The 25,236-nt window shown below is 33.8% G+C and overlaps 1 long non-coding RNA gene across 2 annotated transcripts in view, besides 1 other annotated feature; it reads right to left on the reverse strand.

Moving 5' to 3' along the window:
- LOC105379623 (uncharacterized) overlaps positions 1-21,397 on the reverse strand; it is a 35,178-nt gene extending 13,781 nt beyond the window's left edge. Inside the window, exons 1-4 of one of the 2 annotated variants that reach the window (XR_001742419.2) lie at positions 21,116-21,397; positions 19,479-19,529; positions 9,740-9,804; positions 2,641-2,682 (exon numbers count right to left, since the gene is read on the reverse strand). This is a non-coding gene — a long non-coding RNA (uncharacterized LOC105379623). Of the gene's footprint in view, positions 1-2,640; positions 2,683-9,739; positions 9,805-19,478; positions 19,530-20,501 lie in introns of both variants that reach the window. The other variant, XR_001742418.2, reaches the window with a different exon arrangement.
- Positions 20,963-21,786: an enhancer, noted in NCBI's record as "NANOG-H3K27ac hESC enhancer chr5:69139757-69140580 (GRCh37/hg19 assembly coordinates)". NCBI's record gives its function as "activates a minimal SCP1, AML or CMV promoter by ChIP-STARR-seq in primed H9 embryonic stem cells {active_cell/tissue: H9 hESC(primed)}" and the evidence as "EXISTENCE:reporter gene assay evidence [ECO:0000049][PMID:30033119]".

The raw sequence follows: 25,236 nt of genomic DNA on the forward strand, positions 1-25,236 counted from the left end.
TGTGATGCCTCCAGTTTTGTTCTTTATGCTTAGGATTGTCTTGGCTATATGGGGTCTTCTTTGATTCCATATGAAATTTCAAATAGGTTTTTCTAATTCTGTGAAGAATGCCAACGGTAGTTTGATGGGGAACTTCACCTTTTACCCTTAAAAAAGCTTCGGCTCCCCCAGCTTTTTCAAATGTGCCTATGGTTCAGTACGGTACACATATCCCAAATTGCAGTTCATTGCTCTTCCCAGATAAACTATTTTGAAAAGTCAGTCTCTCTGCTGTTTATTTTAATAATTTTTAATAGAAGTACATCTTTCTTAAAAGCATAGCAAAAATTTTAAGTACATTCACAATAATAATAATTAGGAAACAAATGATCATTGCTTTGATTTTAAGAATTATTAATTTCTTTAATTTTTCAAGTTGAAATATAGAACATGTTTTATTTAGTTACCAATTTATTTCTGTATTTTTCATGAAACAATTTACTTTGGTAAGAAATTTCAAGGAATCTGTGGCATAAATACATATTTGGTCAATGTTCCTTGACCCAAAGTATTAAGGCTGGGTTGTATTTAATTCAGTGACTAAGTAATTTAGTCAGGTTATTCAATAAATTAATGAGGTAATAATCTATAAATTGTTATAATCTGTCAATCTATAAATCATATGTAAAATTGTATTATAAAAAGCAAATGAGTCTTTCTAACAATAGCTAGTTCCGACAATAAAATAACTTCACTTTTAGTTAGCAAGCCCGTATTACATTTCTAAATATTGAAGTCTGTGCAGTAGTTAATGAACTTTTAGTCAATTATTGAGAAAAAAACTTTTAGTACAGTAGAAGATATAAAAAACATGATTGAGCTCAATTTCTCTTTTTTAAAAAATCACTGATTTCTTGGTCAAACTTTTGCTTCTTTTGGAACTTTTGAACTTTGTGGCCATGTGAAATGGCACTCTGAAACTTCTAGTAGACTCAAATTGAGGTAACTTTCTTGCTCACGACAATTTTATGTCCAGTTTCTAATATAAGCCATTATTTCTAACACATGCCATGGTTCCATGTTTGAACTAATGTTAATACCACCTGCCCCTACATGACTGAGTCTGAGCACATCCCTGGGCCACATCAAGCACCATGGCAGATTAATCATTCCTTATGGTTTTAACAGGCAAGCTGGGGAAAAAAAATAACTGTCTCCTCCAACTTTGGTTATGAGTGAGTTTCTTACCTTTTAATGGTGAAAAATAAACTTATCTGTCATAGGAGAAAATAACATTACACTCATATGGAAGCAGAGGTGAGAAGTGAAGCCTTAGTAGTGATGTCATCGTTGCCAATTACTGAAGCCAGGAAGTTAGGAATCATCAGTCTTTTTCTTTTGAATTAATGTGACAGTAGTCGAGAGAGAGAAAAAAGTAGGCATGCTGTATGTTATTTAGAGGATAAGATCTATAGATTTGAAATTGATTTGGCATAAACCCACAGGAAAGTGAAGAATCAAGCATGTATTCTAAGCTTCTGGCTTGAGCAAGTGAGCAATCAGCAACATCAGCCCTATGACTTACTAGATTTTTACTGAGGTATACTTTGTAATGTAATAGCTGCGAGAAACTGAATATCATTGAAATTTAGAAAAGGTTATGACAATGTCATTGGGTTAATAGATAGCCTTTTCTTACAAAGATTTGTAAAAAATGAGAGGCCCTAGACATTTGCTGTGTATATTATGCATAAAAATACCACCTCCAGTGAATTCGTTTGGAAAAGAAACTCAAAGCAAGGCCAGACAAAGGAAACAAAAAGAAAAGAAACGAAAGGGAAAGGACAGGGAAGAAAAGGCAAGAAAAAACAAGACAGACAAAAAATTGGAAAAATATGACAGAGAGAGCAAGAATTGTATATATCATAATTTTATAATATTTTAAATTTATAAAATTATTTTTTGACTTTTTTTAATTCAAGAAGACCCTGGATATAAGTCCATCAGTATATAAATAATTGCTAAGAACTGGGACTAAATTTTAAATAAACTACACTGTTGAAAAAGCCAATATTTTCAAGAAAATTGACCAAAAGGTATCCTTGTCTTCATTTCCACTGACATCTTATGACTGCCATATTTTTTCAGCTATGGCTCTTTTTCTACCAATGGCATGTCACAAAAATGTGTGAACCTCTGGTCACTCTAATTAGTCATACCAATATTGCATAATTTTACCTCAGAATGTTTTTTCCAACTACATTCTTTCTCCAGGGGCATTTATATTCAATGTTTTTTCCAGGGGCATTTACATTCTGAATACCGTGCCTCAAAGTCAAACTGGTTAGCATTACAATCTTGTCTGGTATTATATATGCATTTATTAATGTACAAATTGACCTCAGAAATAGAATATATTTGTCAGGAGTTTTAGGTCTTGTGTTCCCAACACCTAACAATAGATACTTGTTGAATAAATTATGAAAGGGAAAAATAATTTTTAAGAAATTTTGAAAACTTAAAAAGGAAACAAAGGTGTCACAATGGAAACAAAATTTCACTTTTTTTCCTCTGAGTTTAGAGTAAATCTCAGATTCAAACACATCTGAGGATGTACAATTATCAATTATGTAATTCCAAGGGAAAGTAATTTGTACTTACAGGTTAGATATGATAATCAATTCACTTAATTCTACTCGTTTCCTTTAAAAAAAAAAAAAAAAAGAGGCTGTCAGAAATAATACATCACAGTAAAACCTCCTATCAAACAAGAAAAGATTGTATTTGGGAAAACATTTTCATAGACCTAAATTGAGTAATGTTTCCAACTTACATTTCACCAGTTAAGCTTCCCATTAGAAAATGTGTTTGTATGACACCAGTTCCACTTGCATTTTTTTCCCATAGGTTTCCCAGCAGACGTTTACAATCCTTTAGTGATGTTATAGCCAGAATTGTATTAGGTAATAATATAAAATCCCTAAATTTTATGTACAAACCTTCACTGATATTTTTAGTTATCATGAAAGAATCCTTGTATTTATTTCTATTCTAATTCTCCTCATGTCATTGGTATTTTATATGTATTCATTGTAAACATGTGTTGAATGTTCTAAATTTATACAAGCAAAACAATGTACATATTCTAGAGCTTAATATTTTCCCTCTCCCTGTTTTTTTTTCCGTGGCTTTCTCTTGCTTTCACTATTGCAAACTCTGACCCTGAGAGGCAAGAGTCGTGACCATTTAGTAAGATGTATCGTTGAGTATCATAAAATAGTTGGATAGTCTGCTATTTTTTTATAGTAGCAAAAATAGAATGTTCATATGCTTGCCCATGATTTTTATACATTTTTAAATTTGTCTACCACATGCCTAAATTTACCAAATTAAGTCCGTGTATATAAAACATTTGCACAAATGTTACTCAAGTTGTCTGAAATAAAAATACATGTATTTTGCAATTTAGAGCACATGACACTAAAGATGTATAGCTCCGTTAACTCACCTTCTGAACAAATTTCAGCAAGAAATTTCAGAATGAATATAAAAAAGTTAAGAAATATTCTAATATATAGTAGCTGAAAAGTTTACAGAAGTAAAGAAGAAAGACACAAATTAGTAGATTCTGAAGAATTATCTAAACGAACCCATAACTATTCTCTTTATTTTGGATATTCTATTGTTTCCTTATAATTTGTTTATAAGTTTCCTTATAAATAAACAAATTATAAGGAAACAGTGGAATATCCAAAACAGAATATGCAAGCCAATTAACAATCACCATTTTTACCAACAAAAATATTGAAAGTCAGAAAATTGTGGAATATCTTTGAAGTGCTAATAAATGATAACGGCAAATCTAGAATTTTATGTCAATTAGATTTAGAATTCAAGAGCAGATCAAAATAGAGACATCTTCAGACAATCCAAAAACTGAGAGTTTACTACCAAGAATAGTAACTTTTACAGTATGTACCATAGAATAAAGGATAATTAACTGGATGTAAATTCCAAAATATTAGAAGAAGAAAGGATGTGAAAAAACATATATAAGCAGTCACAATTTTATTTAACAAACACACCAACAATATGTGATTTGTGGGAATAAGAAAAACAACATGAATATAAAATAATGAACAATTTGTAGCAAATATTTTTAAATAATTGCAATTAAAGAGCCCTAAGACTTTGTATTGTTTGGGCTTGGTGTTAGTAAACTTTATATTTTATGTTAATAATGTTTATTAGAATATCAAAATTGCCTAGCAAAAGAAAACTGATAATGTGAATAATTTCCAAAATAAAAGAGATAAGTTACAAAAAATGTTAAAGTAAACAAATGCAAAACAAGGCAAAAAAAAAAAAATCAAAGTGAGAAAGACCAGCAAAGTGAATAAAAGGAAGAAAATATGACTTTAAATATAAAAAAATAAATAAATGAAAACCTAAAAAATAACATGCAAGTTGCCAAAAGAAAACGATTTACTTGACTGAATAAAGGTCGTTAAAGGATTTCTTCAGCTGGTGAGCACCAGGCAAACCTGAAGACTAGGTGGTTCCAGACTGAAGTAGGATCAGGCGTCTAACAGAAGTCTGTGGAGTATGCCTGGTTTAGGCTGGACAGATATTTTCTGCTTTAACTGAAGTTGAGTTTAGGTTTTTGGGTTCTTTTCTGTTTGTTTTTGTTTTATCTGTTTATGTTCCACTTTCAGAGTCTCATTATCCATCGGAACAATATTATATGAGAACAATCTTTGCAGCTGATGGGCTAACCACGTTCCCTGGGTGGGGCAGGGGAAGTAGACAAGAATAAGAATGAAGTGGATGTAAAGGAAGAAGGCAAGGGGCGGGGGATTATTACCCTCTAGTATGTTTGTTTTAATCGCTTTACACGGTTACTAGTTTTCAAATTTACTAAATATTTTATATGATTCAAATCATTAACTGAGAAATTTCTTTCAAATTCAGTGCTCTTTGCAGAGTACTGGCTAGATGTTGGAATCCAAAAATGAACTGTGAAAAAAGGCCCGTGTCCTCAGGAACTTATGTTCAGAAGAAATGGAAAAACAAAATTAAATAAGTGGATAAATACATGTGTGTTGTTTTACTAAGACCTTATTTATTAAATATTTTGCTAAGCCTATAATATTAAATCAGCTATTTATATATCTCTATATAACAATGGTTCTAGAGTCAGGAGGTTAACCTTGTGGATTCCTCAGTGACCTTGAGTAATCACTCAACCAAAATACATTTGTATTTAAATACGAACATAAGTTCGAACATTACGTTGTTACCCTAGCCACTTCACAAAATACGTTCGAACACTAGGTTGTTACCCTAGACACTTCACAAAATATTTGAAAAACACATGGATAGACAATTTGATGATTCTATAAATCTGGTAAATGAATTAGAAATATTATAAAAGGTTTTTCTGAGAGGATACCATCGAGCAAAAAGAAAATGACTAGCATTTGACACTATGTAACTTTAAATCTATATTTCAGGGACCTCTGTCACTTTCTTGGGGAATTGAATCACCTATTCCTACTTAGCAGCATGAAAATGAGTTGAATCTCCAGGTTATAGCATTTGAAGGCATGCCTGAGAGGAGCAGATTCAAAAATCAACAGGTGGTTGATGTTTTCTGTGGGGAGCATTCCTGCCTCAGTCCTGCTGCTGTGACCCATTCCTAAACAGCTTTGGGGTCTACAGTCCCCCTTGGTACCTGCTGGGGATTTGTTCCAGGACCACCACCAATCCTACCACCATCATCCCTTCATAGCAAAAGCCAGAGATGCTCAAGTTTCTTATATAAAATGGCCTAGTATTTGCATATAACTTACACACACCCTCTTGTATACTTTCTATCATTTCCAGATTATTACTTACATTAATAATACTGAATACAATATAAATGCTATGCACATAATTGTTATAAGGATTGTTTTTTATTTGCATTGTTTTATTGTTGTATTTCTTTTTAAAAATTATTCTTGGTATTTCTTTTAACAAATATGTTTGATTCATGGTTAGTTAAATCCACCCACAATGGGGGTATGGAGGGTCAGCTGTATTCAGGAATTTGCATTAACAGACTTAAGAGCCTAGTAGATTCTTTGCTTAAATGAACTCTGTGCAGACACAGCATTCAACATTTCTATTTTGATACTTTAAGCAGACTGCAGTGTTTGACAAGCTATTTCAGTAATATGCAATAATCTTTACAAAATAGACATAGATGTTCTGTGACCCCAAATTCTCTGAAACTCTAAACTCAATTATTGAATCTATAGTGGTGTTTCTGATCAGATTACAAGATGAAGGAAGCAATGGAACTTGGCCTAATGTAATGAAAAATATTGCTATCTCTCCACTGATTATTTTGGATGATGGGAGAGCTGTATAGCCATTTAACTAAAGAGGAATCCTTTCAGGAACTACTCTGAAGTACTTTAAGAGATGGAGTTGCTGAAGAAAAAAGATTGAAAACAATTGGCTTAGCTGTTCAGAGCATGGCAAGAATGTAACTATAATCTGTCATTGTGTGGGCAGACAGATGGCCTGAAAATTGAATAAATTGGAAATCACTGGAAGGCAGCTATTTTGTCCTTGAGTGCATTAGGTATCTTGGAAAAATGTTATTAAATGGTGAACAATTGCTATCGAAAAGTTTCTAGTTGTTTGGAACATAGAGTTACATAAAGTCAAGATTCTATTATTATTCTAATAATAGATAAAATCCGAATGTAAAGAAAATGTTTCCTATGAACTATGTAATTTAATTCTTATCAGAGCAATACTTTAAACAATTATTTGATTAGCCTGTGTTTGTGAATGTATATAAAGTAAGCAATAACCTTATTTTCTCCTCTTTGTAATTTAATTCATTAGAAATTGAGAATCTCAGACTTCTCTCCAGCCCTATTAAATCTGCATCTTCATTTCCAGGTCACTCATACACTGTTTAACTTTGAGAAGCACTGTTGTATATTGTCTTGAGAGTCCACACTATGAAATAAATTGGCCCTTATTTACTCCTCAATTGAAATTCTTCAGACTTTCTTAAAGTTTCTAATTCTAAATAAGTCCCAGTTAGTGGAAATGAACTGAATTTAGTTTAATTTTTTTTATCATGCATTGCTGTCCAAAAGAAGAAAGCTTATTTCTGCCAACTTCTTCTTATCCTCAACTTCCAACCACTGTCACGTCTGTCTTCTTTCTTTTTAATATTTTCAGGTGAATTAGAGGTTTGTCAACCGCAAGAATGAAATATATGGTTTATGGCCTATTTTTATGTAACTGGTCATTCTGAGATCTGGAAAACACTACCTGTGTTTATCTGCAACTAAAATCTAGACACCTGAGCCTACACTGCATAGCGAAACAGGTCACTAGAAAAACACAAGCAATTTAGAAAGGCTTTTAATATTGAACAGTTGCATTTTGTTTCTATTCATGTCTATCGCTTTCTCTTTTTTATTCTAAATTGCTTTATTATATTCTATATTTAATATTCTATCATTAACATGTCAATGACAGTCAATAATAATTGAGGACTCAGGTTTTGTCAATACACTGATTTATAATTAGTACAATATGTTATGAGTTTCCTTCGCACATTAATATTATCAGCTCTTCATTTTTTGTTGTTCACAATATATCTTCAACTACCTTTTTATTTTTAGGCAATGTACATATTACAATTTAAGAATAACATCTTCTTTGTTAAATATTTATTTCCACCCCTTTTCAGAAAATTAGATGGTTTACATTTATTGTTAGAAATAATATAAAGCTTTTCTGGTTTTGTGCTTCTAAATAATATTATTAATATATTCTTTTGTAATTACAAAAGCTCCTTGTTTTTGTTTTGTAATTCCTTTCTCAATAAAATAGAGCTGCAAATATTTTGTTCCTTTAAATATTTCAAATAAATAATTTTCATTTATAATAAAAAATATAAAATATGCCAAAGAATTTATTATTTCAAAAAATATGTCATTCACCAATTTGCTTTTAGATTTGTGAATACAGTCTCATTTTATTTTAATACTTTAATCATAGATCTTAACTTTTTTATAATTAATTTTAATTTGTATTTAACATGGTAATAACATTTTTACTTAATTTTATATTGTTGGGTTAGTAGTCACTGTTAGTACACATAACTATTTTACTTTTTCAACATGTAATTTTCATTAATCTTATTCAGATAAAGTTCATTTTCACTATTTTTCTTCAATTGGAAATATTTCATATTTTAAAGACTTCCATTCCTAACAAATGTGGAATACAACATTTTTAGCTCAAAATATTTTTCAAAACAAAACAGAATTTTTCCAGTCTTCACATATAAAACTAAAGCAACAAGCTCAAGTCTATCCAGACATTTTATACTTCAGAAACGAAAATACTAATCTTACGTGTTTATGGCGGATGTTTTTCTTATAATTTTAGTTAAAAAATATTTGTAGAAGGTTTTTATAGTAATATAGTCAGAAAATTAGTCTGCATTTTTACCTACAAATTAAGCAGTATTTTAAAAATTAGCTCAGGAAATTTTATTTTATATTGTATTTTAGTCTGCATTTGAATGATATTTAAATTCTTAGATTTTCACTTTAGATGTGGGAACTCAGGTGCTTAATTCTATCCTCTTTAATTTTATATCTGTGATTTCTTCTGCTTTGTTTTCAGTTCTATTTTTTTCCTGCACTGCAAAAGAGTTTCTAAAGATTGTATTTAATATTACAAGCTTCATTTAGTGCTCTATCATTTGGCATTTACATTTTTACATAGTTTTAAAATTATATATATTTCTTTGTATTTTTTATCTAATTTTATACAATTTTAAAAATCATGCACCTCTAATATCTATTGACTAGGTTTAGCTTTCATTTCAGAGATAACATTAATAGTGAAAAATATTATCTTAAATGCAAAGATATTCATTATTTAAAAATTGATCAATGACATTCACTAAATTATCACAGGGACGAAAACATAAAATGATCATCTGTAGAGATGCAGAAAAATAATTTGACAAAATTCAGCACTGATTTATAAGAATTATCAGCAAAATAAGAACAGAAATGAAAATTGACCAACAACCAGAAATGACAGCAACAACAAAATACCAAGTCAGTAAAGATGGAGAGAAATAGGGAAGCAGTGAAGGTAGATGTCATTTCTGTTTTTAGTGGTGGAGTACAAGGTGTTCTTGTGCTTAAAGGTCATGTTCTTGTGATAAAACGCACTGCAGAGACAACACAGTTTAATTGGCTGAGGCAGGTGACTCCCTTTAAGCATCAGGGTGGAACAAACTACACGACAAAATGTAATTTTAAAGACCACTCTCATTCAAATGTAATAATATCAAAGCACCCTTAACTCATTAATGAGTGAAACAATGAGTGTCATGGTCTGAACTGTGTTCCCCTCCCCAAACCCGTATGTTCAAGCCCTAACCCCTAGTTATACACATAAGGTAAATGAAACCTCATTTGGACACAAAGTTTTTGCAGATGTAATCAAGCTAAAATTATGTCTGTAGGTGGGACTTAAAATAACATGGGTTGTCTTTATAAGAAGAGGGAACAGAAACAGATAGGATGTGGAGAGGACCATGTGAAGAGAGAAGCTGAGACTGAAAAGGATTTATGTATTAATATTGACAGAAGCCAAGGAACACCATCTGAAGTTCTGATGGCAACATCAGAAGCTAAGAGAAAGGCATGGAAAAGATTCTCACCTAGAGCATCCAGAGGAGAGGTTGGTCCTGCAGACACCTTGTTTTCTGACCTCTGACCTCCGCAACTGTGAGGGAAGAAATTTCTGTTGCTTAAAGACACACAGCTTGTGGTACTTCATTATAGCAGCCCAAGGTAACTAATATAGATGACAAAATTGGTTCCAAGGGTGTTTGAGGAACTGGACCTTTATAGGCATTATTTTCATAATACTGCATTAAGCTATGATAACTGGACTAGATTCAAAATTGGATAATGCCCTAAATGCAATAAAGCTATAATTTTGAGATAAAATTTTAATAGCTTTATGAGATATAATTAACATCTGGTATACTGCACATTTTTGAGGTGTGAAATTTTTAAACATTAACATACGTATATACTTGTAAAACCATCACACTAGAAAGAGATCTCAAGCCTCTTCTTTTGACTTTCAACACATTGTCAATCCAGTACTAATCTGGTTTTATTACCATATATTAGCTTTTATTTTCTACAATTATATATCAGTAGAATTATAGAGTATGAATTCTTTTTGTCTTTTTTCCTTAAGCATAATATTTTTGAGATTCAACAATTTCTTGCATGTTGAAGTAGCACCTTTTTTTATTGTTACGTATTATTTCATTTCATAGACATACCACTATAATTTATTTACTAAACTCTTGACCAGAGGTTCTCAAATGAGGGACATTTTACCTGCCGGGGACATTTCCAATGTTTGGGGACACTTTTGGTTATCAGAGGTTTGTGGAGGAGGGGATAGAGTGTCCACAGGCCAGGGTTCCACAAAGGATAGCTCCCCACAACAAAGAATTAAGCCACTTCAACAGCTAATAGTGCTGAACTTGAGAACGCCGCTCTTGGTGGACAGTTGCATGGTGTCTGTTTTTGACAATAATGAATAAAGGTACTTGTGCAAGCCTTTTTACAGACTTATGCTTTTCTCCCCCCTAGGATAAATGCCTAGGGGTAGAATTGGTACATGTAAGGTAGATTTAGTTATCCAAAGTAGCTGTACTGTGTTACACTCCCACCGTCGATGTATGCAAACTCTAGAGTCTGGTTTCTTGACATCTATGCCAAATATTGGTAACACAATTTTTAAAATAGTAGCTTTTCTAGTAGATGTGTATAATTATCTCATTTTATTTTTTATTACTAACGATATTAAGAAATTTTTCCTTTGCTTATTTGCTATTATATCATTTTTGTGTAGCATCTGTTAGTTTTTATAGCTCTCTTGTTTCTATGTTGTACATTATATTTATATATTCTTGCTCTTATTCATAATAAATAGTATATATAATTGTGTAATTAAAAATAAACATTAAAGTATAAATATATTTACACATTTCTGTAGTTTATCATTATATAATTATTGCTTTCTGAATAAAAAGAAATGTATCCACAGTTTGGATAAAAAGAAGTGCTTTCATGTAGTTTACTAAGACATTTTCTGTGCTTTATATTTGAAGCCTATGCTTTCACTTTTACACATTGTTCCATAATATATTTTGGACTCCTTTAATTTTGAACTCATTCACGCTTTTGTTGTGAGGAAGGACTTGAGGTTTGTTTTCTTCACATTTATCTCGTAGTTCTGCACACTTTGTTAAATAAAATTATCTTTCCCCTTTGAATAACTGCAGTATCTTTGATATTATATTATTCATATAAGCATGGATCTATTTGTGAACTCTATTCCATTCCATTACTCTAATTGTTTATCCATCTACTAATAACACATTCTCTCGATGACTATAGCTTTAAGTTATTGCATGGTGTTAGGAAGTGTGAGTATTCCAACTTTTTTTTCAGCTTTCTATCATTTGTTTTTGCTCTCTTGATGTACATTTTTAAATCAGTGTGTCAATTTATATAAAAATATCTTTTGTGATTATGGTGAGGATTTCTAGAATGATTAATTTGGAAAAACCAAAACCTTTTACACACTAAAATTCACTGAACTTTCAAGCCATGATTATTGTATTAGTTTGTTCCGGCATTGCTATAGAGAAATACAGAAGATTCGACAATTTATGAAGAAAAGAGGTTTAATTGCCCCACTGTTCTGCAGGCTATACAGGAAGGATGATGCTGGCATCTACTTAGCTTCTGGGAAGACTCAGGAAACGCACAATCATGGCAGAAAGCAAAGGGGGACAGGCACGTCACATGGCCAGAACAGCAAGAGAGTGAAAGGGGAAGCTGCTACACACTTTTAAATGACCAGATCTCATGAGAACTCACTCACTCACTATTATGAGAACAGTATCAAGAGGGATGATGCTGAACCACTCATGAGAAATCCACCCCATGATCCAATCACTTCCCATCAGGCCTCACCTCTAACATTGGAGATTACATCATACCAGATTTGGGCAGGGACACACATCAAAACCATCAATTATTGTATGCGACTCCATTTATTTAGAACTTTCCTACATCTCCCAACACTTTTGCTAGTTTCCTATTTAGAGAGATCTTGCATGTAATTTGTTAAAATCATATATACATATTTTATTTTTATTAGTATTTTACATGGATTTGATTTTTATCATTAATTGCTCATTGGAAATATATAGAAATAAGTTAATGGGTTGACTTATTTTTTCTATGATGTGGCTAAAATTACTAGTTTATTCCAGCAGCTGATTTTTACAGTCACTAGAAGTTTATGTGTAGGTAATGGAGTTGTTTAAAAATTTAGAAGTGTATTTTTCATTTCTTAACTGTGTATGTTTTACTTATTTATTTGATTTGTCTCACTGGTTAATTCCTCCCATACAGTAGAGAGAACAATAGTGAAAGAGGACACTTTGTCTTCTTCTGGATCTTAAATGAATAATTTATTAGTTCACACTTCAGTGTGATATTTCCGTAGATGCCTTCTATTTGCTTAAGGATGCTTCTTTGTATTCTATTGGGGCGAGATATTTTTATTATAATTCTATCTTGAAAATGCCAAATGTTTTTTCTGCCTCAGAGGAAGTTTATATATTTTTTTCATTTTACTCAGTTAATGTGGTGAGTTTGAAAATTCAAATACTTGAAAAATCACGTTCCCATCAAACACTGCTTCTTACTGTCCCTTTCTAAGAGGACTACCTTCAACTTGGGCATTTAGAGGATACTTCCCTTCCTATAGCTCAGGGTTTTTTTGTATTTTTTTTATGTTTAAATTTTAGTGATATTTCTTTTATGTGTTTTTAAAATATTTTATGGGCTACTGCATTGACCCATTTGTTTCAACTTTACAGCTCTAGTTAAATATAAAAATTAATAAAATGTCAACACTCAAGTATTACATATATCCCTTGATCTGGTGATTTAGGACTATGAGAAAAATGCTCAATTTCCCTCGATAGAAGGAAGTATGAACTTTTTTATTTATTTATTACTGTAGTCTCACAGCCTAAAAATCAGTAGGTCTCCACTGGTCAGCAAGCAAATGATCATGATTATTTTTCTGAATTTTTGACAATTTCAGAATAGGCAAGAAAGCTAAGTTTTAAAAATAAAATGCCAACATCAAGAATTTAAAATCAAATTCGTCACAGTGAATCCCAACAGGAAATAGTTCTTCATTTTATGATTACTCAGAGATTTTGCTTGTTGTAGTGGTCTTCCTTCTGGCTCATAATTTTTTGCTACTCTGCAGCAGAAATAATAAGAAATATTTTCCCAGTCCACAGCGGTGAAGGAGAAGAAAACTATAAATCAAAAGTAGCATATTCTGTGGATCATTTATTGAAATAAACACAGTGAGTACAAGATGGGTAATCTATTTGCATAATCAAAGACACCCTTCATCTGTGTCTATTTTTCTCTTTTCTTTTCTTTTCTTTTCTTTTTTTTTTTTTTTGAGACAGAGTCTCACTCTGTTACCCAGGTTGGAGTGCAGTGGCATGATCTTGTCTCACTGCAGACTCCGCCTCTCGGGTTCCAGCAATCTTCCTGCCACAGCTTCCTGAGTAGCTGGCATTACAAGGTATGGGCCACCATGCCCGGCTAATTTTTGTATTTTTATTAGAGATGGGGTTTCGCTATGTTGGCCAGACTGGTCTTGAACTCCTGGCCTCAAGTGATCTGCCCGCCTCAGCCTACCAAAGTGCTGGGTTACAGGCATGAGCGACTTGCCTGGCTATGTCTATTTTTAACATAGTTATAGTGAACTATAATTATTTTTACACAAAAACTATTCTTACAAATGTTATATGTATTTTAAGAGCATACAAACTTACAGGTTTTTTTATTTAATAAAAACCAGTGGCAGATTGATAATGCAGAATATATTATTTATAAAAAATCATTTGTTGTCATACAAACATATATTTTATTTGAAAATTATACTTTTGAATAGCTTTTTGGAAAGTTAAAGTATTCTCATTTATTGCATACGTTTGTCACCAAAATTATACGAAAGAGTGTTTGATTCAAAATGTGTGTGTGTGTGTGTTCCTATATAGGACCCAGATAACACATATATATTAAATAAATAAATACATGTATATATATATATCATGCACACACATTTAAATATAATGTAAATGTGTGTGTGTGTGTGTGTGTGTGTGTGTATGTGTATGTGTATGTGTATGCAGATGCCCCTCTGGAAACAAATTTAAAAAGAATCCCCTCTTTTGAGTGTATAAAGAAGTTCCTTTCTTAAGGAATGGATAACAGGGGTTGGTACTTTGGCTGAATTCCTCTTCCTCTTACTTTCATTAGACTTGGCACTGTTGCATAGAACACAATTTTCCAAAATGTAATGTCTGTGTTATGCCTACAAATGTACCATACATAACAATTTGTCATTTTCTGTAATTACATACTGACCTATTTAACATTTATCTAACCACTTATATATCTTAATCAAAATAAATCAACCCATGTAAATTGTTTATTTCTATTGTCTTTCTCAGTATAATGCACAAGATACCTTTCTATCTCTATATGTATTTGTCATTTTCATGTCTGTCCCTACATGAGTTGACTCTATTTTTCTGTTACATAGATATGTGATGTTAGTACAATATATGTTAACTAAAAATGGATGATGCAACCTTTTAAAATTATGACCATCGCAGTGAAAATTATGTCTCTAAAATATCAGGGGCTTAGGTATTTTCAGATTAAATTAGGAAAAATAGAGTATCTTTCCATTTATTTATGTGGGCAAATTTCCCATTTGTTCACATTAAATCTTTTAATGGCATATTGCCTAAATCTTTCTCAGAAAAGCTTAGCCAAATTGCCTAGGATGTTTCCTTTCTCCCATATTACCATCACTGTTTACCATCATATTTCTAATAATTTTAATTTTGGAACATGAAAATGGTATTTCAATTTAAATGCGTATGTTTTTCTATTTGCAAAGAGATTAAACATCTCTTCAAGTTTTTAAACTATATGCAGCCCTTCTTTTCTGCCATACCTGTTCATTTCCTCAAGCTATTTTTCCATCAGACAGTTTCATGTTTTCTCATTGATTTGAAGCTTCTATTAAAGTATTGTATACACATGGGTAAATGCACATAAGTTTAAAGCTTAGTGAGTTTTAAAATACTATGATCATCCAGAATAAGAAAATGTAATAGTCACACACCTGATTTCCACCCATCCCTCCTAACATAACACTATTCTAACTTTTACCAGTAAGGAATCAAATAGTGTGTGTAGTGTTTTGAACCACATTTTTTTGCTTAATATTATATTTGTGAGACGAATTGACTATATGACCTGCAAATGAAACTATTTATATTTATTTCTCTAATATTTTATTAGGTGATCATATTACAACTTATTTGTTTACTGTACTCTTTATAAGTATTTTAGTCCACTTTTGGGCCACAGTTTGGGGTTATTTTGGTGTTATTCTGAAAAGTGTTTTCATGAGTACACATTTTTTTTTAGCTATATATATGCATGCATTTCTGGAGAAACCATCTTTACAAGTAGAATTTTGGGGCCTAATACATATCTTTATCCAAATTATTTGAACTAAGTTATGCCAATAACATCAATTTGAGTGTTCTAATTAGTCAACATTCTCATCAATACTTTGCACTTTCTCTTCAACTTAGAATTCTAAAATATTCCTTTCAAATTCAGGATTCTGAATGACAAGTACTTACATCTCATTGTGGTTTGAATTATTTTTTCAGGTAACCAATATAAATAAAAACCTTTTAATAAGTTCATTGGTTATTTGAATATTTTATTTTTGAAGTGTCTAAAGTATTTTCTTTCTAATCCAGTCCAGTTATTTTTCTGTGGTTTGCTTCTTGTTGTCTTATTGAGTTCATTGCCTTTTTAATATTCTTTTCCGGTTAACATTTCCCCCTCACTGATCTGAAATGTTTTCATTATATACCACCTTTCCATATCTGTCAATGTCTTGATTTTCTATATGATCTTCATCTATCTGTAGTTATAACTCATTTTAATCATAGAAGCTTTAAGAATTGCTTAATATTTTGTATTGACTCCAAATTCCATTGATTTTATAGGATATTTCTAGCTATTCTTGCTTCTTTATTCCTCCAAGTAAATTTGTCTATTTTTCTAAATCTGGAAAAAGAAATTCTAGAAAATGTCGTTTTGTTATGACACAGAAGATATAAGTTTATTTAAAGAACTGGCACATTTATGATTTTAAGGCTTTTTCAAGAGCATGGAATTTCTTTCCCCGTGCTCAAGTCCAAATTTGTGCCATTCAGAAGTGTTTTCTAGTTTTTTTTATATATAGGTTTTAAACATTTCTGGTTAAGTTTATGCCCTCACATTTTATTTTAGTTTGGTTAATGACGTTTTACATGTGTGAGTTCCCTCAATTATTTCTTTTAAATGTTCTGATTCAATAGGAACACTCTCCTTAGTATCCTTAACAGAAATGATTCTTGTTTATAGAATTGCTAAATAAGTAAAGAAATTTTAAGTTAAATCATGGCAAGGAGTTATAATTATACTAAGCTTTTTTGTTCCTAGAGGTTTTGGCTCACTCATATGGTAATCTATATGAAAATTTTTCTGTGATATCTAATATTAGAAAGATCCTCAGTGATAGAATAGTGTTTCTTCCTAGCTGATTCATACATCTTTCTCTGCCAACATTTTGTTTGTTGAAGTGTTCCCCAACATATGACTCATTGCTTACTAAATCCCTATTGAGCAGCCAAAGCCCTGGTGACTAATTATGTCATTAATTTGGGAAAGTCAGAGACAATAAGACTGTCAGTTGAAACTTTGTAGGAGGTAAAAAAGTCACTGCTGTCAGCTGCAAAGATCCTTAAAACGGTCTTCAGTAAAGTCAAATTTTGTGACAAGAATTATTGCATCAAAGTCGGGGAAATACCTCTTAGATCAAATAAGATACATTGAAAAGCCAAAAATTATTTTTATCTCACTTTGGGTTCTCATAAGGTCTACCCACTGTTACTTGGATATGAGACTTAACAAATGGAAAAGAAGACAGGGGTACTGTCACACTGTATTTTCCTACGGCCTAATGACCACAATGGTTGATGAACTGCAGTAAAGTTTCTATAATATTTTCCATCTATTCATTTGCTCAATCACCTTGTAATGGTTATGTTGGTTAATTCCAGTCTTTCATGGGTAAGCAACAAAATGAGACTTAATTTGAAATATCCAGTATTTTTCTATTCTTACAAATAATTTTCAGGATCAATGCACTGAGGATTAGGAATGGCAATGTGTATTACTACTTTGATACCAACTATATCCAATCTAATGTTGGAATTTGTTTGACAAAGTGTTATGTATTTGAAAACAGGCAGCACTGAATAAAAAGAATATGGGCAAAAGAAAAATGGAAGTGTTTTGAATGGAAGTCTAAAATATTTATTGATCAATGCTGAACTGAGTAAGCAGGAGATGCCTGTACATAAATGACATTATCCTGATCTAGTAACAGGGAGAAGCAGAATATCTGAAAGCTGTTTATTAATTTGATAATAATAAGATTAGAAACATGCAAATCAAGATTAATAGTATTCACTTCTAATTGGGTTTAGGTAGACTTTGACTATTTTGCTTCTGATGTTCTTATATTTTTAATTTTCTATAATGATCATATAACATATAATATTTTCATAATATTAAACATTTTAGAATTAAACTCCATTAGAGTGTATCTTTCCTAAAATAATATAAACATCCAATCTTGTCCTTAACAATTCTGTTCTCAAACATTAGCCTATTCCCTCAAGCCAGTGTTGCTTTCGACCCATATTGTCCATCATTTCAATTTATCTCAAAGTTTTTTATTGCAACAATTAAATGCTTTGAATGATACCCAAGGCATAGTTCTATTTCAACAAAATTTCAAAGTTAATAGTTACATCAAATTTTGTTGGTGCTCATTGAATTTGGTTATTAAAACCATAAGTAGTATGTTTTATGCTGACTGAGGGAGATAAAAGTAGTAATGTTTAATATTCAAACTGTGATGACTGAAAAAAAAATGAGGCCTGTAAAATCTTATTTAACGTCAAATTTTAATTAAACAGGCTTAGCAGACCAAAATTAAAATCTCAATTATTTTTAAATTATTAATGACAGACAACTAGATTGAGTGAACACTGGCATCTCTTTTCAAATAACTTAGTTTAGTGGATGAGTTAAACATAAACTAGTTATTATAATGCAGCGAAGTATGTGAAAAATTTAATTTGAACCCTACTTAGCTTAAAATCCTGACATTCTAGGATGCAAGTCCTGCAAACTTTCCATATGTAATCAACAATTTTCTAAACATGCATGCTGTATCTCTCCTGTGTGACTTTGCATACATCATTCCCACATTCTAGATCATCCCGACCCACCTTAAGTGACTGCTTTTGCATAATCTCCCTTAAAATTCTAACTCAAGCACTGCATCTTTTGAGTCCTTCCCTAACATCTTAACATCTTCCTTCTTTCATTCATCATTAACTATAGTTAGTTATTATAGCACCTGTTAGCACTGTAAAATTATGTGTGTTACACAAGTACAACATGCAGACTAAGGTCGTGTATTACCTAGCCTCATACCAGCGTCACCTAGAACAGCAAAAATGTATGCAGATTAATCACAATATATTTGGATGTACAAAATATATTGAGAGCAAAATATGATGGAAATTTAGGTGATGCTCTTTGAGCATTGCTTCCATTTTCCAATAATGTAACCAGGAATCACTGTTCATGTAATTAAAGAACAATAAGTCTATGTGAATCAAAATATACATATACATGCAAATGTTAAACCTCAGCAGGAAGAGGCCCATTCTCTTGCTTGCTGATATATATATATATATATATATATATATATATATACACACACACACACACACACACACATATATGTATGTTGTGTGTATATGTATATACACACAACAATCTATAGGCTTGCCTTTTAAAATAGTATAAGCAACAAATTTTAAGAGAAACAATAATGAGTGTGTAAAACATTAGATATGTGTATGTACCTTTGCTATTATTTGTGGAAATGGGGCTATAAAATAAGCTCCTTTATTTTCTTTTGTAAAACATTTCTTTAATATGAAGTAATGCAATACGTATTTATGTTCTAAGTGTTAATTTCCTTGGATATAAAATAATATCTTGTTCCTTTGATTCTCTTACATATAAGTGTATTTACTCAGATATTACTCCAAATACACCAGATATATTCAAAGTTGAAAAAATATATACTTTGGAATGTATTATCACCTTATTTCACATGAAGAAATCAAAATCTCTGGCATCCAAGTGCATTCCAGCCTGAAAAAAATTATGCAATTGTGAATTTAACAGAAAGCAAATTGCTCACATATGGAGTCAACGTGAAGCTATATCAATATTTATTAAAAGTTTATATATTACTTTTGATCCCCTGGAGAGAAATACAAAATTCAAATAATTATTCTATTTTTATATCCCAATTTGTAATTATGAAACTCTAGCATTTTAATTTTTCTCTTTCAAGTTTACCTGAAGCTTCACAAAATTCTGTGAGGAATCTATTATAACAGGTATTTTGCTTATTTCCACACAAACAGAAGGAAATGTGTATTTTCTATGCCCTGAAGAATTTACTCTTTTCTGTAAATGACATATGGTAGTTAATTCTTTTTGGTAATAAAATATTCCTGTTTTTAGGCCGAACAGCCTTTTCTTTAAATTCAGGGCAACATATCAAAGCTTTGCCGTAATAATACAGAGTAATCGACTAAAGTAATATAGAATTTAAATAACAAAGAGTTTAAACAATTTAATATGTCTTCTATTAATTTCAAACTGAAATTTTACAGAAATTATTTGGAATATGCTGCCAGAGTACACACACACACACACACACACACACACACACAATCACACGCTCACATCACACACTCACACCCAGCTAAAGGAAATTACCACAGCTATAATGATTTCATTAAATATCTGAAATTAAAGTTTCTTTTGGATTTTCAGCTGAAGCTCATAGTAAATAAAAGTAATATGATCATTGTTGCATACTGTGAATCAACAGCACCCAGAAACCTTCGACTTTCTATATTTACACAGCTTAATTATCCGAACTGAAACCTGAGGCCATCTGTGTCAACATGATTTCACAATTCATTCCAGAAAATTATTTTTCAGGAAAGTAAGGCTGCAAACCAATAAATAACTTATTGTTTGCTTCAGGAAATTTCTGCAAATCAATTTATGTCAGTAAGCAACTCTCCTCTGGGCCAACAGATTGCTCACCTGGGCAGGTAGCAGCTTGTGTCAATTAACAGTTTACTTATGAAGACTTCTGTCATGGCCCTTAACTCACAGTGTCCCCCAATCCTAAACTCTATGTCCTGAACATTACCTATTCTTATCAGTCATTGGTCTTGAAAGGCCCCGGGCAACCATTTGAGCCCAGACTTCAATACTCTATCAATACCACCTTATCATCTACTTTTCTAACATGACCCCTCAAGGTGGTGACCCCACTTACAGTCGTCTTTTATTGAATTTAGCTTTCCCTAATCAACATGCTAGTCTATTGGATGCAGTGTCGGAGGCAAAAATCACAGAGGTTCTGAAAGCATCAGCCCATGGTTTTCTAAACATCATGGTTCAAGACCCTTAACACGAAACAGAAAGTTTCCCCGAGGCGCCGTAAACAACCCATTTGGGCGCTTCCCTGATAATTATAGTGAAATCTGGCATCTAATTTTTTTTGGTGGACTCTCAAATTTTATATTTATGTTTTGATTCCTAGAAATAAAAAATGTTTTTATAAGGAATTCTTTGATCGTTTATGTTTTATTCTTGATAGAAACCTACTACTTTATAACTTCGTTTATGTTTTACTCTTGATAGAAACCTACTACTTTATAACTTCGAACATTATTGATGTTCTTCCTGTATTTCTGAGAGGTGACAGCTTGCTGGCATCCCTCGCTGGCTCTCGGCACCTCCTCGGCCTCAGCCCACTCTGGCCGCGCTTGAGGAGCCCTTCAGCCCGCAGCTGCACCGTGGGAGCCCCTCTCTGTGCTGGCTGAGGCCTGAGCGGGCTCCCTCTGCTGGCGGGGAGGTGTGGAGGGAGAGGCGCGGGCCGGAACCTGGGCTGCCTGCGGGGCTCGCCGGTCCAGCGCGACTTCCGGGTGGGCGCGGGCTCGGCGCGACTTCCGGGTGGGCGCGGGCTCGGCGCGCCCCGCACTCTTGAGCGGTCGGCTGGCGCCGCCGGCCCTGGGCAGTGAGAGGCTTAGCACCCGGGCCAGCAGCTGCGGAGGGTGCACTGGGTCCTCCAACAGTGATGGCCCGCCGGCGCCGCGCTCGAATTTTCGCTGGGCCTCAGCCACCTCCCCGCGGGGCAAGGGGGCAGGGCTCGGGACCTGCAGCCTGCCATGCTGGAGCCCTCACCCTCCTCCCCGCCCCCGTCCCCTGCCCCCCGCCCCCCGCCCCCCAACCGCAGGCTCCCGCGCGCCACCCCGAGGGGACGGGCGCCACCTCCTGCTACGCGGCACCCGGTCCCGTCAACCGCCCAACGGCTGAGGAGTGCGGCAGCGCGCCAGAGACTGGCGGGCAGCTCCGCCCGCGGCCGGGATGCACTAGGCAAAGCCAGCTGGGCTCCTGAGTCCGGTGGGTACTTGGAGAACTTACTACGTCTAGCTGGAGGATTGTAAATGCACCAATCAGCATGCTGTGTCTAGCTCAAGGTATGTGAACGCACTAATCAGTGCTCTGTGTCTAGCTAATCTGGTGGGGACTTGGAGAACTTTTGTGTCTAGCTAAAGGATTGTAAACAGACCAAGCAGCTCTCTGTAAAATGAACCCATCAGCTCTCTATGAAATGGACCGATCATCAGGATGTGGGTGGGGTGAGATAAGGGAATAAAAGCAGCTGCCAGAGCCAGCAACAGCAACGTGCTAGGGTCCCTTTCCACAGTGTGGAGGCTTTGTTCTTTTGCTCTTTGCAGTCTTGCTGCTGCTCACTGTTTGGCTCTGCGCAGAGCTGTAACACTCACCAAGAAGGTCTGCAGCTTCACCCAAAGATATTCCAAAGATACAGAAAACTATATAGAGACATTTTGTATAGTTCTAATAGCATATAATCCACAGGTCCCTGATCTATAATATGGGTTTTTTATAAAATTGTTTTTTTGTATGCTATGAGGAATTTTACTTGTTAAAAAGAAGAGGTGGAAAGGCAGAATATGAAAACTATGAAAATGACATAAGAGACTATGAATTAGGTGAGAAACCAGAGAGGTTTAGAAACCTGTAGACATTGTGCATCCCCCAATGCCTTTCCCCTTAAAAAAATATTATATTCTAGTCCAGTCCATCAAATAAAGTCTACATTCATTAGAAACATATTCTCTTGGTTTTTATAATTTCAGTTTTTTCCAGACACAGTGCATATGCAGATTTGTTACTTTTGTACAGTGCACCCTGGTAGTGAGCATAGTACCCAGTAGGTAGTTATTCAGCCCATGCTCCCCTCTCTCCCCCACCCCCATAGCCTGCAGCATGTCTTGTTCCCATGTTAATGTTCCTGTGTGCTCAGTGTTTAGGTTCCACTTATAAGTGAGAATGTGTGGTATCTGGTTTTCTTTTCCAGCACTAATTTGCTTAGGATTATGTCCTTAGCTCCATCCATGTTGCTGCAAAGGACATAATTTCATTCTTTTTTATGGAGGCATAGTATTCCATAGTGTATATGTACCACATTTTCTTTATCCAATCCACCTTTGATGGGCACCTAGGTTCATTCCATGTCTGTGCTATTGTGAATAACATGCTGATGAACGTACGAGTGCATATATATTTTTCTGGTAGAATAATTTATTTTCCTTTGAATATATACCCAGTAATGGGAATGCTGGGTCGAAGGGTATCTCTGTTTTAAGTTCTTAGAGAAATCTCCAAAATACTTTCCACAGTACCTGAACCAGTTTACATTTCCATCAACAGTAGTGTATAAGCATTCCCTTTACTCTGCAGCCTGGCCAACATCTAATTTTTTTACTTTTTAATTATAGCTGTTGTGACTGATGTGAGATGGCATCTTACTGTGGTTTTTGCTTGCATTTATTTATTTGATGATTAGTAAGGATGAGTGTTTTTTCATATACTTGAGTGTCTTCTTTTGAGAAAATATCTGTTCATGTCCTTTGCCTTTTCTTGATTTAAATTTTAAGTTCTGGGGTACATGTGCAGGAAGCGCAGTTTTGTTACATAGATAAACGTGTGTGGTGGTGGTTTGCTGCACCTATCAACCCATCACCTAGGTATTAAGCCCAGCATGCATTAGCTATTTTTCCTGATGCTCTCCCTCTCCTCAACCCCCTACAGAAAATTATAGTGTGTGTTGTGTGTTGTTCCCCATTGTGTGTTGTTCCCCTCCCTGTGTCCATGTGTTCCCATTGTTCAGCTCCCACTTATAAGTGAGAAGATGCGGAGTTTGATTTTCTGCTCCTGTATTAGCTTTGCCCTTTTTAACTGGGGTTGTTTTATGCTTGTCATTTTTTCTTCCTTATGGATTTGTTATATTAGATCTTTATCAGATACATAGTTTGCAAATATTTTCTCCCATTCTGTAAGTTGTCTGTTTACTCTGTGGATAGTTTCTATTGCTGTGCAGAAGCTTTTTAGTTTGATTGACTTTCACTTGTCAATTTCGTTTTTGTTGCAATTGTTTTTAGAAACTTAGCCAAAAATTATTTGCCAAGGCCAATGTCGAGAAAAATATTTCCTAGGTTTTGTTTTAGAGTTTTCATAATCTGAAGTCTTACATTTTAACCTTTAATCCATCTTGAATTAATTTGTGTGTATGGTGGAAGGTAAGCATCCAGTTTCACTCTTCTGCTTATGGCTAGCGAATTATCCCAGCACCATTTATTGAATAGGGTGCCTTTTCCCCATTGTTTGTTTTTGTTGGCCTTGTCCACGATCCAGATGGTGGTAAGTGTGCAGCTTTATTTTTGAGTGTTCTATTCTGTTCCATTGGCTTAAGTGTCTGCTTTTGTAACAGTATCATGGTTAGTGTACACTTATAGTATAGCTGGAAATTGGGTAGTATGACGCCTCTCTGGCTTTATTATTTTTGCTCAGAATTGCTTTGGCCATTCTGGCTTTTGGGGGTGTTCCATATAAATTTAGAATAGTTTTTTCTAATTCTGTGAAGAATGATGTTGGTAGTTTCATGGAGATAGCCTTGAATCTACAAGTTGCTTTGGGCAGTGTGGCCATTTTAACAATATTGATTCTTTTAATCTGTAAACATGGAATGTTATTCCATTTATTTGTGTTATCAAAATCTCCTTCCTTCCTTCCTTCCTTCCTTCCTTCCTTCCTTCCTTCCTTCCCTCCCTCCCTCCCTCCCTCCCTCCCTCCCTCCCTTCCTCCCTCCCTTCCATCCTTCCTTCCTTTTCTTATTTCCTTCCTTTTTTGAGACAGAGTCTCACCCTTTCACCCAGGCTGGAATGCAGTGGAGTCATTATAGCTCACTGCAGGCTTGAACTCCTGGCCTCAAGCCGTCAGGGTAGTTAGGACTACAGGCATGTGCCACCATGCCTCGCTATTTAAAAAAAAAAAAAAAATTTGTATAGATGAGGTTCCACTATGTTGCCTAGGTTGGTCTCAAACTCCTGGGTCCAAGCGATATACCTGCCTCGGCCTCCCAAAGGCATGAACCACTGCATCCAGCTTCAGATTTCAGCTGTGTTTTGTAATTCTCCTTGTGGAGATCGTTCACATCTTAGGTTAGTTGTATTTGCAGGGATTTTATTTTCATCCTAGGTGTTGTAAATATGATTGTGTTCTTAATTTAACTCTCAACCTGGATGTTGTTGTTGTATAGAAATGCTACTAATTGTTGTACATTGATTTTGTATCCTGAAACCTTGCTAAAATCCTTTATCATTTCTAGTAGACTTTTGTTGAAGTCTTTAAGGTTTTTTAGGTATAGAATGATATTGTTGGGTGAAGACAGATAGTTTGCCTT

This window comes from Homo sapiens, chromosome 5 (genome assembly GCF_000001405.40).
Source record: "Homo sapiens chromosome 5, GRCh38.p14 Primary Assembly".
Taxonomy (NCBI): Eukaryota; Metazoa; Chordata; class Mammalia; order Primates; family Hominidae; genus Homo; species Homo sapiens.